The sequence below is a fragment of the Homo sapiens genome, chromosome 2 (assembly GCF_000001405.40).
Source record: "Homo sapiens chromosome 2, GRCh38.p14 Primary Assembly".
NCBI lineage: Eukaryota > Metazoa > Chordata > Mammalia > Primates > Hominidae > Homo > Homo sapiens.
The window spans coordinates 234,344,472-234,358,244 of record NC_000002.12 but is presented as its reverse complement, the minus strand read 5'-3'; positions in this window follow the sequence as shown (position 1 = coordinate 234,358,244).

Below are 13,773 nucleotides of genomic sequence, written 5' to 3'. Positions count from 1 at the left end.
GTGCATGTACTCCTGAACCTAAAATAAAAGTTAGAAAAAAAAGTGGCACACCTGTAGTCTCAGCTACTCAGGAGGCTGAGGCAAGAGGATTACTTGAGCCTGGAAGTTAGAGGTCGCAGTGAGCCAAGATTGCACTGCTCCACTGCAGCCTTGGTGACAGACTGACTCTGTTGGGAAAGGAAGGGAAGAAGAGAAGGGGAGGGGAGGGGAGGGGAGGGGAGGGGAGGGAGGGAGGGAGGGGAGGGGAGGGGATGGGATGGAAGGGGAGGAAACGGAAGGGAAAGGAAGGGAAGGGAAGGGAAGGGAAGGGAAGGGAAGGGAAGGAAAGGGAAGGGAGATATCATCCTGTGGCATCAAAAAGCCTTTGGGCTCTTAACTTCCAGTATGGCCTGTTCCTCTGGGTATTGTTTAGACAAACCCCCAGGGAGCTGGCCTCTCTCAGGTCCCTTTCCTGAGGCTCTGCTTGACCTGGGTCTGATCCCAAGTCTGGCCGGTTGTGCCAGTGTGTGGGGGGCATCTTCTCTCTGTCGTGACACAGGGGAGCCCCTGCAAATTAGATAGAAAGAAACACCATTGCTCAGGCTGGAGGTGGCCTAGGCTGTGTGTCAACCTCATTTCTTTGGTAAAGTGCCCCCACGAAGGCTCCGTTTGCCGCTGAAGGGAGACCATGGTGAGAAATTCTGCTCATGCTGCTCTTCTTCCTGCTCTCTCATTCTAAGTCCACCCTTCACCTAGGTTAACTGGATGCATGAGGACCACACCAGGATGGCCAGAAATATGAGGCTGAGGGCCACCGGCATCACGAACAACAATTGGAAGCCGAGATCCCCTCTCCTTCCACCTGTTCCTGCAGTGGTGGAAAGAGGAGCTCACTCACGCCTACTTCAGAGGGCAGACGGCAGGGTCTAGAGGACAATTGTGCAGTAGGCGGTGCCACTTGCATTTGAAAGTCATTGTTATTGGGGGTTCTCTTTGAAATGAGAAGAAAAAAATTGAAAATGGGGATGGATTTTATTTAAAAAAAAAAAATCCTCAGAAAGGCAGCCCTCCCAGGGCACCTGCTTTGTGCACTGGAAGCCAGTTCCTGGGCTCCTTTCTGGAGTCCTCACCCTCAGGTGGGAGCCAGTTTTCTTATGGACAAAAAGGATGCTGTGTCTCCACAGCCCTTCTGGAGACCAGAACATCCAGCCTCACTGAGCACTGAGAACAGTCTCCACGTTGAATTGCTTGCATGTGTCAGCTTTGTAGAGAACCACCAACTGTGATTTAATCTCACCTTTCCATGACCACGGAATATCTCAGCTATGAAAATAAGTACTGGCTAAGTTATAGTAAATGGTAGAGTGCAGAGATTAAGCAAATGAAACCTATACTCAAACAGGCTTGGTTTTTATTTCTGACACAGAAGCTTATAAATCTATGACCTTAAAACACTGTAAGCCTCAATCTTCTCAACTATAAAATGGGCATCCTTTTATACTAGTATCTCCTCTGGTTGTTGAAAGGATTAAGTAGAATAAATCTTGTAAACTCTTTTACATAGTGCCTGGCCCATAATAAGTATTTAATAAATATGAACAATTATATAGATGGTACATATAGATTATATGTATGGCATATTGTAAGTGCTCAACAAATACTTGTTATTCGTATGCATTTCCAAGTCTATTTACGCTCATGCTTTTTAAGAAAGCTGTCATGAACCAAGTTCGTCAATAAGTTTATGCATAAAGAAGTTTGTTTTTCTGGAGGTCCTTTTGTAAGTATAATTTATGAATGAATGAAATGATCCTTCCTACATTTTCACTTAGGAAGCAGGGATTTAATGTGATGCTGTTTGATTAATTCTGCTCTTTATGCCACCCCCCAAATAACTCAGGATTGCATTGCATGGCGACAGCCCTGTATCATAGCATCGTAGAATATTGGGAATTTGCCTGTCCCGTGAACTCAACCAGAGGAGCCAAGACTCTGGTTGTCAGACTTTCCGTTGGTGTCTTTGGTTGTCAGACCTTTACCAGAGGCCGGGGGCAGAGCCTGGTGCACTCTTTGTTTTGTGGTTGCTGTTTGGGGGCCTTGTTTGGAGGATGCAGTGGCCGTTATTAATGGGTAAGGGAGGGCTTGCTTGCCTCTCTGTCACAGTTTCTTTTAAGTACTTTTTTTGTTTTGTTTGTTCCTAGTACTTCAAAGCTGAAGGGTTTTTCTTGGGAGCAGAAGCAGAGGTGACCAGAGTCCTAAATCATCAAGACAGGATGGAGGTGGTGAGTAGACAGTGACTGCTCATGAAGAAGCAGTTGAAAAAAAAAAAAGGGAGGAAGGGAGGAAAGAAAAAAAGAACAGTTGGTCTTACATTAAGTGTCAGATGTTATCTGACACTTGCATTTAGAGACTTGGTAAAGAAAAAGATGGTTTGTACCTCTGGTAACAAACCATCTCATACTTCCATGGGCAAAAAAAATCACCTGGGGGCTTGTTTAGAAGGCGATTCCCAGGACACACCCCTGCACATTCAGGAAATCTGTAGAAATCTGCATTTAACCTGAGCACCCTGGAAAGCAGCAGCCAGGGGCACTGAACCAGATTACCTGATACAGTTAGAGACGTTCAGAATCCTGAGGGACCGCTGTCACCAGCCACAGGCAGCTGCTAACTCTATGTGGGCTGAGTACTTTGCTCTCGACCCCTAACCCACTGCAGCTTTCTGGGAAACCTTGCCCTGGTGAATAAGTGATGCAACCAGGGAAGATAAAGAGATGCTCAACCCTTTCATCCTTGCTGGAAAAGTTCTTCCAAGCACTTTGACAGCCCAGCTAGCTGAGGTCAAGCATTCAGCCTCGGGCTTGGGAAGGAGAGGATGGAATTGGTCCACACAGGTCCATGACTGGGATGTCAGCCTCAGAGTCACTGTGCACTAATAACCCCCATGAGCCTGCAGCTCATCCAGGTGGAAATCCTCCTTGCCTCGCCAGAACAACCTCCACAGTAACAGCCGCCAGCCGGCCCCAGGCTGTCTCGAGTCAGCTGGGGTGCGCACAGCACAGCCAGGTGTCCGTGAGCATGAGGATTCAAAGCTCACTGGAAAGATTCATGGTTGATGAAAATAGCAAAAGCAGATACTGGCTGAGCTCACGCTAAGGAAAGAGACACACCTAAGTAGATATTATGGGGCCATATTTGCATGTAGATTGCACCATAAACTTCGTCACAATTATAAATAACTAAGGGATCAACAGGATGTTTTGATATCATTTTTAATTCACCACTCATAAGGGAAATGGTGGGACTTTTTTTTTTAAGGCCTCACCAAATGTTCAATTTATTTTTCTTTATATTTCTATGCTAACATATAATTTTATAATTAACTTCTTTCTTGTGTCCTTAACATAATTTTATGCAACAAACCAAATGATTATATGCACTCCCAACATTTTCACCAAATTTGATGATTTTGTTTGTGCAAGGATTTTATATTAGCCCAGAATTCTCAGGCTTAAGTACTAGAGAATTTATTTGTTTTTTGTTGTTGTTGTTGTTTTTGAGACGGAGTTTCGCTCTTGTTGCCCGGGCTGGAGTGCAATGGCAGGATCTTGGGTCACTGCAAACTCCGCCTCCCAGGTTCAAGCAATTCTCCTGTTTCAGCCTCCTGAGTAGCTGGGATTACAGGCACCCGAATAGTGGGACTTTTCTTTGAGAAGTGGGTAAGGGCAGCATGTTTTTAAAGTGTTTTGGAGATCTGATATCACTGTAGGCAAGGGAAGATGTTATGTGATAATGTTTGGAAAACTCTGGGTTAGACAAAGTGAAACACACATCTTTTTTTGCAGGATTTCTCTTTATTGATTGCAAATCTGTGGGCTAGATCACTAGACCCCTTTGTCAAAGCTCATCTTTAAAAATTAGTGTGTCCCGAACAGATTCTGGGAAATGTTGCATTACATAACTCCAAAAGTCCCCTCTGGCTCTTACGGCCGACGGCCTCTGGAAGGGAGAAGGTGGGAAAGAACACAGATCCCACTGTCAGTGCAGTAGGATGGTAGATGGCTGTCCAAAACTCTGCCAGCAGCTGTTGCACATAAAAAAATACTAAAAGTTAAAAAAATTCATATATGCCACTGACAAAATAATTGCCTCTCCAGAGAACACATAATGAAGAAACGAGCTATTGTGTATCGTCCAGATTTGTATTTGTCATCTACAAATTACAAAAAAAAAAAAAATTGTATTACCATGGGGGAGAAAGCTTCCTTTTCAATAAATGGCAAATCTCATTGAAGGAAAAAATTAACATTGTGATCTTCCAAATTCTACTGCATTGAGGCTCAGGAAACCAGATGCGGTGATACAGGTGCCATCAAACCCCAGGGAGGAGAGTGGCCACTCCTCAGAACTCGGTAAACAAGACCCTTCCAGCCGCAACAGGAAGAGACTTGGGGGAGTCCAAGGAGGCCAGAGGAGAAGGCCTCGATGGGAGTAAACAGGAACACCTTGTGTTCTCCCATTTTCTTTTACTATTTTCGACTTTTTTCCTCTATGTAGGCAATGATTTGGAAAACTCAGAATCCTGGTCAATGAAAGATAAATAGGGATGATTACATGACAAATTTGGTAAATAAAATTAAGACAGCTTTACTGAAGGCAGAATTGCTGCAGGTTTAATTTGAACTTGGAGGAAAAAAGAAAAGTGTCAACCTCATTTTTCTAGGAGATGAGAGTATTAGTTTAGCTTGAAAATAGGCAAATAACTTCATTTGGCAGAGCCCATGTTCTTTTCTCTAACATTATAATGCCACCACATAGTGGGAATTCAAGAACTGACATGCCCTAAATATGCAATAATAATTTACTGTATGGCAGAAAGGCTACTTTCTCTAAAGGATACTTAATCTCAAAGCAATGATTAGTGTCATGCTCAAAGCTGAAATGCTCCAGGAAGATTCATTAAAGATAAGGGCATGAACTTCATCACTATGCCTCTTTAACATCATTCTAGAAATTGCAGCCAATGCAATAAGACATGTGACAGAAATAGTTTCAAAAGGAGAGAAATGCTAATTGTCAGATGATTATTTAACTGTCTACCTAGAAATCCCAAGATAATCAACTAAAATTAGAATTATAACGGAAAACAGAACTCAGTAGTTTATGAGATGCAACGAAATAAATGTGAACAAATTGTTAACCTTCTTACTAATGACAATACCCAGCAGGAGAAAGCCCTACTGTATGTATGCATGTGTGCACATATGTGCATATGTATGTGCAATCGTGTGTATTATGTATATATGAACAACTATATATCACATCTATCTGGGAATAAACTTAGCCCAAAATGTAAGAACTCATTTGAGGAACAAATGAACAATAAAATGATAAAAGGCACCTAAGTTAAATAACTGAAAAGACTTGGAGAAACTCGTAATATTCCTGAGTAGCAAAACGCATCAGGGTTGTAAATGTTATTTTTATGTCCAATTAACTACAGTTTCAATTTAAGTCCAATAACTTGCTATTATATTTTTTGTAGGGTCCAGCCCTATGGGGCTTAGCAGGTGTTCTCCCCGTGTGTGGAGACGAGAGATTGTTATAAATAAAGACACAAGACAAAGAGATAAAGAGAAAAGAGCTGGGCCTGGAGGACTACTACCATCAAGATGCGGAAGACTGGTAGTGGTCCCGAATGGATGGGCTCACTGATATTTATTGCATACAAGACAAGGGGACAGGGTAAGGAGGGTGAATCTTCTAAATGACTGACAAGGTGAAGCAAGTCACGTGATTACAGGACAGGAGGCCCTTCCCTTTTAGGTAGCCGAAGCAGAGAGAGAAGGCAGCATACATCAGCGTTCTCTTCTCTGCACTTATAAGAAAGACCAAAGACTTTAAGACTTTCACTATTTCTTCTACCACTATCTACTGTGAACTTCAAAGAGGGACCAGAAGTACGGGCGGAGCATGAAAGAGGACAAGGAGGGTGACCACTGAAGCACAGCACCACAGGGAGGGGTTTAGGCCTCCGGATGACTGCGGGCAGGCCTGGATAATATCCAGCCTTCCACAAGAAGCTGGTGGAGCAGAGTGTTCCCTGACTCCTCCAAGGAAAGGAGACTCCCTTTCGCGGTCTGCTAAGTAACGGGTGCCGTCCCAGACACTGGCGTTACCCCTTGACCAAGGAGCCCTCAAGTGGCCCTTATGTGGGCGTGACAGAGGGCTCACCTCTTGCCTTCTGGGTCACTTCTCACAATGTCCCTTCAGCACCTGACCCTATACCCGCCGGTTATTCCTAGGTTATGTTAGTAATGCAACAAAGAGTAATATTAAAAGCTAATGATTAATAATGTTTATAATAATGATTGATAATTGTCCATGATCATCTCTGCATCTAATTTGTATTATGACTATTCTTATTCTAACTATTTTATTTTCTTTATTATACTGAAACAGTTTGTGCTTTCAATCTCTTGCCTTGGCACCTAGGTACTCTTTCACCCACAATTTCTTTTTCTGTATTGAGGTAATCTGAAAAAAATGAGTGGAAGAGCTAACAATTTCTACTAAAGATAAGTAATAATGAAGCCCTTAAGAAATATTATAAACCTGTACTAACTAAAAAATAAATAAACATATCTAAATAATGGACACTGCTCCCTCATGGGCCAAAAGTATATAAGAAATTAACCTGAAAGCAGTGATATCATAAAATAGTGAGAAAGGAAAATTCATTTAATAAATAGTATTGAAAGCAAGATTTGCTACATAAAAAACCTCACTTGATGTAGTCTAAAATAAATTTTGATTAAAGTAACACGTAACTTCCACATAAGATTCTAAGACCAGGTAGTTCAACTTATGATTATTATTTTAAAATTTGAAAAGTCTGCAAAAAAAGTCTATTTAGAGTAGCTAAACTAGAGTACCTCTAATTTTAGAGTTTAAAAAATAATAATTAGGCTGGGCACGGTGGCTCACGCCTGTAATCCCAGCACTTTGGGAGGCCGAGGTGGGCAGATCACGAGGTCAGGAGTTTGAGACCAGTCTGGCCAACATGGTGAAACCCCGTCTCTACCAAAAATATAAAAATTAGCCAGGCGTGGTGGCGAGTGCCTGTAACCCCAGCTACTTGAGAGGCTGAGGCAGGAGAATTGCTTGAACCCAGGAGGTGGAGGTTGTAGTGAGCCAAGATCGTGCCACTGCACTCCAGCCTGGGTGACAGGGCAAGACTGTGTCTCAAAAATAAATAAATAAATAAAAATTAAAAACTGTAATATTGTCTTTATCTTCAGTTAAGAAAAACTTTCTAGGCACGAAAGCAATGCAAGAATTTACAAATATAGTAATTAATATTTTTAGAATCAAAAAAGTTAAATGTGTAATTTAAAAAAATGAGAATGCTGCAAATAAAAACTTTGAAACTAGGTTAGGTTGAAACTAATGTTACTTTTAGAATCAAATTCATGGCCTTAAATTCTTATATTATTAACTAAGAAAAAGTTAAAATAAAGACAGTTAAGCATTCAGGAAAATGTGTTAGGGAAAAATTCAAGAAAACAGTTGGGTGCTGTGGCTCATGCCTGTAATTTCAGCACTTTGGGAGACAGAGGCAGGTGGATTGCTTGAGTCCAGGAGTTCAAGACCAGCCTGGGCAACATGGCAAAACCCTGTCTCTACTAAAAATATAAAAAAAAATTAGCTGGGTGTTGTGGTGCACATCTGTAATCCCAAGAAGGATGTAATGCCCGAGAGGGTGAGGTGGGAGGATCACCTGAGCCTGGGAAATAAAGGCTGCAGTGAGCTATGATAGCACCACTGCACTCTGGCCTGGGCAACAGAGTGAGACCCTGTCTCAAAAAAAAAAAAAGAAAGAAAAGAAAACAAATATGGGAAAATAGTAAATAGTAGAAAGAAAATAATTAAGGCAAATGTACATATTAATAAATTTGGGAAAACTTTTTACAAGTGAATCTTTCTTTGAGAAACATTTAACAGAATAGACAGTGCTAGGCTATATCTGCATCATGAAGGCAGGAATCCTATCCTATTTTCCCCCGGGTATCCTCAACACCTAAAACATTACCAATATTTCTTTTTGAAGAAATGAGAATAGATATACAATGTGAAAATATTATAAAAAGATAAAACATAAGTATACAAAATTAAGAAGAAAAATGTGGGAATAATATGCAGAGAAGATAAAATTAAAATATTTCTTCAAATTTAAAAGCCTTTATGGGATGGAAAATAACATTTATCAAAATGAAGTTAACAAGAAAAAAAATCTATAAAGTAACATCTATGAGAAACTTGTTTAAATTATTTCCACATAAGAATCTAAGGCCTGGTAGTTCAATCTATGATTATTGTTTTAAAATCTGAAAAGTCTGCAATATCTGTGCAATATAAACTGTTCCAAAGTACACTTTTAAAGTGTGTGGGCTGGGTACAGTAGCTCACACCTGTAATCTCAACATTTTGGGAGGCTAAGGTGGGAGGATCACTTGAGCCCAGGAGTTTGAGGATGCAGTGAGCTATGATCACAACACTGCCCTGCAGCCCGGGCAACAGAGCAAGTCCCCATCTTAAAAAATAAAACATAAAGTATGTGTGGGGGCTGGAGAAAGGGTAGAAAAATCCATCCTGTAAGTGTGGTAAAGAATGTATTTATATTAACAATATTAGCTGTCTCATATCCAATGCTTAAAATGTTTTGACTACCATAAAATTAAAAGTTTTTTTTTAATGTGTCAAGAAATGTCATAAAGAATGATGAGTGAAGTAGCAACTCAGAAAAATACTGGCTATGCTGATAGAAAATTAGAAAAAAGAAGCAGGCCGGGAGTGTTGGCTCATGCCTGTAATCCCAGCACTTTGGGAGGCTGAGGCTGGTGGATCATGAGGTCAGGAGTTCGAGACCAGCCTGGCCAGCATGGTGAAACCCCGTCTCTACTAAAAATACAAAAAATTAGCTGGGTCTGGTGGCACACACCTGTAATCCCAGCTACTCAGGAGGCTGAGGCAAGAGAATTGCTTGAACCTAGAAGGCAGAGGTTGCAGTGAGCCGAGATCACGCCATCGTACTCCAGCTTGGGTGACAGAGCGAGACTTCATCTCAAAAAAAAAAAAAAAGAAAGAAAGAAAAGAAAAGAAAAAAGAAACAACAGTAAGGCAGCAGGTCACATTTATTGAGAGATGCAAATGCATTATAAATAGATGTTATTTTTAATGCTATCATTAGAGATTTAAGAAATACTAACTTAAACAAGACCAGATTTGGAAACATGAAAATAAAAGGTAATGCTCAACGTTAACCAGTGTGGTGGGAACTAGTACTCACATACAATGCTAGTTGGAGTCAAATTTGAACAACTTTTGTGAGGGTAATTTGACAAGATGTATCATGGGCCTTAAAAAATGTTCACATTCTCTCAACCCCAAAATTCCACTTTTGGGAATAACACTTTTTATCCAGGAATATCACCTCTTGGACTATGAAAGATACACTCAAGAATGCAACCAAAGAGGCCTGTCGTGCATTGTCACAATCATGGAACCAGGACTGACATTTTGTTGATATAAATGTTTCAAGGTATTTTCACTCACACTTTCTCACTTAATTCTCACAAAATCTCTTGGTGATAGGTTTAGTATCCCCCATTTCAAAATTTCCAAAGCAATAAATAAGAAGCTCAGGTGAGTCAAGGAACTTCCTCAAAATCCAAGAGCTAACTGGAACTGGAGCTTAACTGAGTCTAGGTCTTCTAAGGTCTTGCTTAGTGTTCTTTGTACTTGATCTCACGGCTCTGACCATGTTCAGATGATAGACACGGACCTCAGAAAGTGTCTGGTTCACACAAGCCCCTGGGTTGGATAAGTAACTTAGGGTCAGAGGAAGTAAGTCAGCATTGGTTAGCAGATGGCTGAACATGACTTCCTGCTTCCAGTAAATATTCTTGTGGTTGCAACAAGTGTTTCTCTAACTTTCACAGCAAAGTGGAGAAGTATTCCAAGTCATGCCTGCGCCATCAGGAAAAGATTTTGGGAAGCCACGAGGCAGCTGAGACACTCCTGAGGGTTGTTTCAGCCCATATTTAGCTCCCTCAATCCTCCTCGCCTCACGCGCTGCCCAACGTTCTTCTTCTTTGTGCCCACCGGGGCAGTTGAATCCTCATCTTTGCAGAAGTGAATAATATTTTGAACATGTTGGGGAGAAATAGTCTCCTGAAAACATAAGGCTGGGGATTTACAGTCCCTGATACCGGTGGGTCTTACACTTTATTGTGAGCAAGAATCACCTGGAAGCCTTGTTAAAAAATGCAGATTCCAGGGCTCTGTCAATCATGTTTCTGACCCAGCAGCTTTGGAGTAAACCCAGAGATGTTTTAACAGTTGGTCTGAATCAGAGGCAAAGAGTCCAAGGAGCACAATGGCAGCGGAACAGTTTTCTATCTCCTGTTATTTCTTGACTTATGATCACTTCCCCAGGGCCCGATGGGCATTTAAGTCCAACCTTTAGGACCATTCTTCCTCTGTCTTTGATGCATTTTAAAGCATCATTTTTGCTTGTCTTTTTCCAAGACCAGGTAGCAGCCAATTCCAGACTTGGCCTATTTATTGATGCTGTCTTGAATCCCCATAATATTAATTGCTGGCTTTACCACTCCTTTCTTCATGTTGGTGTTTGGAGAAACAATTATCTTGCATTCCCATATCAGCCGTTAGCTCATGCCACAGGCAATTCATTTATTCAACACAGGTCGAATGGGAGCTCCCAGGTGGTACAGAAACTATACTGCAAGGCTCAGAAAATATTTTCTTTGCAGGTGACTAAGATGGCTGTGTCTTCTGGCCAGCAGAGAACCATGCACCCCTCCTCTGGTTGTCATGACCAGCTTCACTGGTGTGGGACCAGTGCAGCCCCACAGGGCCCTAAGCATAGAAGGGCCCTGCATTTGGTTTAATATTCTGCTGTTACCTTTCTAAAATTCTTAATACTTTTTGAACAAAGGACCTTGCCTTTTTGCTTTCCACTGGACCCTGCAAATTATGTAGCTAGTCTTGCTAGTTGTAGTCAGAAGGTCTCACGTCAGATGTACAAGAAGAGAAATTAGCATTTGGGTCTCCTGATGTAGCTCTGGTGGCTGGTGTTGTAGCCATGGGACTGCTTAGCCTGGGGTTGACATATACTTATTTGTCTTTGCTACACAATACCCTTCTGGTTGAATTTAATAGTACTTCTCTTCTTTTAGTGGTAAGGAGTTCAAGGTCACTACTTCTATTTTGGGCAATAATATCAAGGAAAGAAAAAGAAAATTCTTTTTTTTTTTTTTTGAGACAGAGTCTGTCACCAGGCTGGAGTGCAGTGGCACCATCTCAGCTCACTGCAACCTCTGCCTCCCGGGTTCAAGTGATTCTCCTGCTTCAGCCTCCCGAGTAGCTGGGACTACAGGTCCCCGCCACCACACCCAGCTAATTTTTTGTATTTTTAGTAGAGACAGGGTTTCACCATGTTGGCCAGGATGGTCTCGATCTCTTGAACTCGTGATCCACCCGCCTCAGTCTCCCTAAGTGCTGGGATTACAGGCGTGAGCCACCGCACCCGGCTGAAAAAGCAGATAAATTCTTAGAACAGAAAGAGCTCATGAATGGCAGGGGACAGGTCAGATAGCTAGCTCTTCCACTCCACACTGCCTCTGTCTCAATCATTTTAGCTCAGAGACACAAGATGCATAGAGACATAAGATTCAGAAAAGCCAAAGATTCATTGGTCAACCAGTGCTTGAATATGAGATACAGATATGGCTTTGTGCCATGCGAGTGTGGTTGTGTTCTCTGACCATTTGATTGTCAGATAGAGCAGCCCACTCAGGGAAGCTTCAGCAAACAACACCAGCACCTCCAGAACTCAGTGGAAGGACAGATGGCCCAGCCACGGGACAACCTAGAATCCAGATTTAGGAAGCAACCAGGGACCAAGAGGCCATTCTCTCCAGCTCTGTCTGGGGAGCCATCTGCTCCCTCTTCCCCGATTTTGCTGCGTCCCCATCTTCTTTGTTTCTCATTCTCCACAAGGAATAGATCTTTCTTCCCCGCTTGTGCACAGCAGAAATGTGACCACCCAGGTGCAGCTTTTCACGGCCTGTCAGTTCACATGCCCTGCAGTGATTACTCAGAGCCCCAGGAGACAAATTCTAAACTCCCAGGAGAAGAAATCAGACTGGGACTTTGATTAGGAATTGCTGTTGGTTCTTAGCAATGGTGCCGGTGGATGGGTCACAAAGTCTGTGACCCACTCAGAAGGGTCTGTAGGAACAGGGTCTGTAGAAGGGAGGTGAATGAGAAGTCCATCCAAAGGACTCACATGTTATCTAGGGTGCCAAAGAAAAAGTATGATCAATATGAAGTTCTGGATGGAACTTGTGGGAGGGTGAGCTATGGGTGAAGCCTGTTGCTAGGTGAAATTCACAACTGATGATCTAGTTCTTGGATTGGATGATGAGTTCATATGTGTTCATTTAGAGCATACATGCAAATAAAAAAACAAAGTAAAAGATATAATGAATTAATAGTGCTGTATCATGAGCCAAGGATTATGATTAAAATGATTAAAATAGAAAAAAACCAAACAATAAAACAATGAAACAAGGGAGATGGATTTTGAGTTCATGGAGAAAGAAGGGAAGCCAAGTTTAGGAGTGCCTGCATCCCAGAAAATGTTCTTTACATAGACACCACTTACTGAGTACCATGTGGCACACACTGGCTCATACAGAATTCAAAACACTTTTAGAATTTAGTATTTTATATTATACCTATTTTATGGATTAGAAAACTAACTCAGAGAGATTAAGTTGCTCCATATTAGGGCAGATCTAGGTTCTCAATCCATGTTTCTCTAATACCAAATACTAACTGGTAATATAACCCTTCAAAGTGAAAAACAGGGGAAATTTTCTTCCTTCCTTCCTTCCTTCCTTCCTTCCTTCCTTCCTTCCTTCCTTCCTTCCTCTCTCTTTCTCTTTCTTTCTTGAGATGGAGTCTCACTCTGTCACCCAGGCTGGAGTGCAGTGGCACCATCTGGGCTCACTGCAACCTCCACCTCCTGGGTTCAAGCGATTCTCCTGCCTCAGCCTCCTGAGTAGCTGGGACTACAGGCATGCGCCACCACGCCCAGCTAATTTTTGTATTTTTAGTAGAGACGGAGTTTTACCATGTTAGCCAGGATGGTCTCGGTCTCTTGACCTCGTGATCATCCCACCTCAGCCTCCCAAAGTGCTGGGATTACAGGCATGAGCCACCGTGCCTGGCCAGGAAATTTTCTGACACACCATCCATCCCTGTTATGGTTTGAAATGGGTCCCCCCAAAAGATTTGTTGAAGTCTTAAGCCCCACTACTTGTGAATGTGACTTTATTTGGAAATAGGGTCTTGGCAGATGTGGTTAAGATGAGTTCATTAGGGTGGGCTCTAATCCAATATGATTGGCGTCCCCTAAGAAGAGGATAAGAGACACAGAGACATGTACAGAGGGGAGATGATGTGACGAGACATGGGAGAATGCCTGTGATGATGGAGGAAGAGACTGGAGTGACACTGTCACCAAGCAAGGAATGCCAAGGATGGCCGATGAATATGAGAAGCTGGAAGAGGCCCGGAAGGATCCTCTGTAGAGCCTTCGAAGACAGCGTGGTCCTGCCCACACCTCTGTTTTGGACTTGTGAACTCCATAACTGTGAGACTATCAATGTGTTACCTTAAGCCACCCTGTTTGGGGTACTTTGC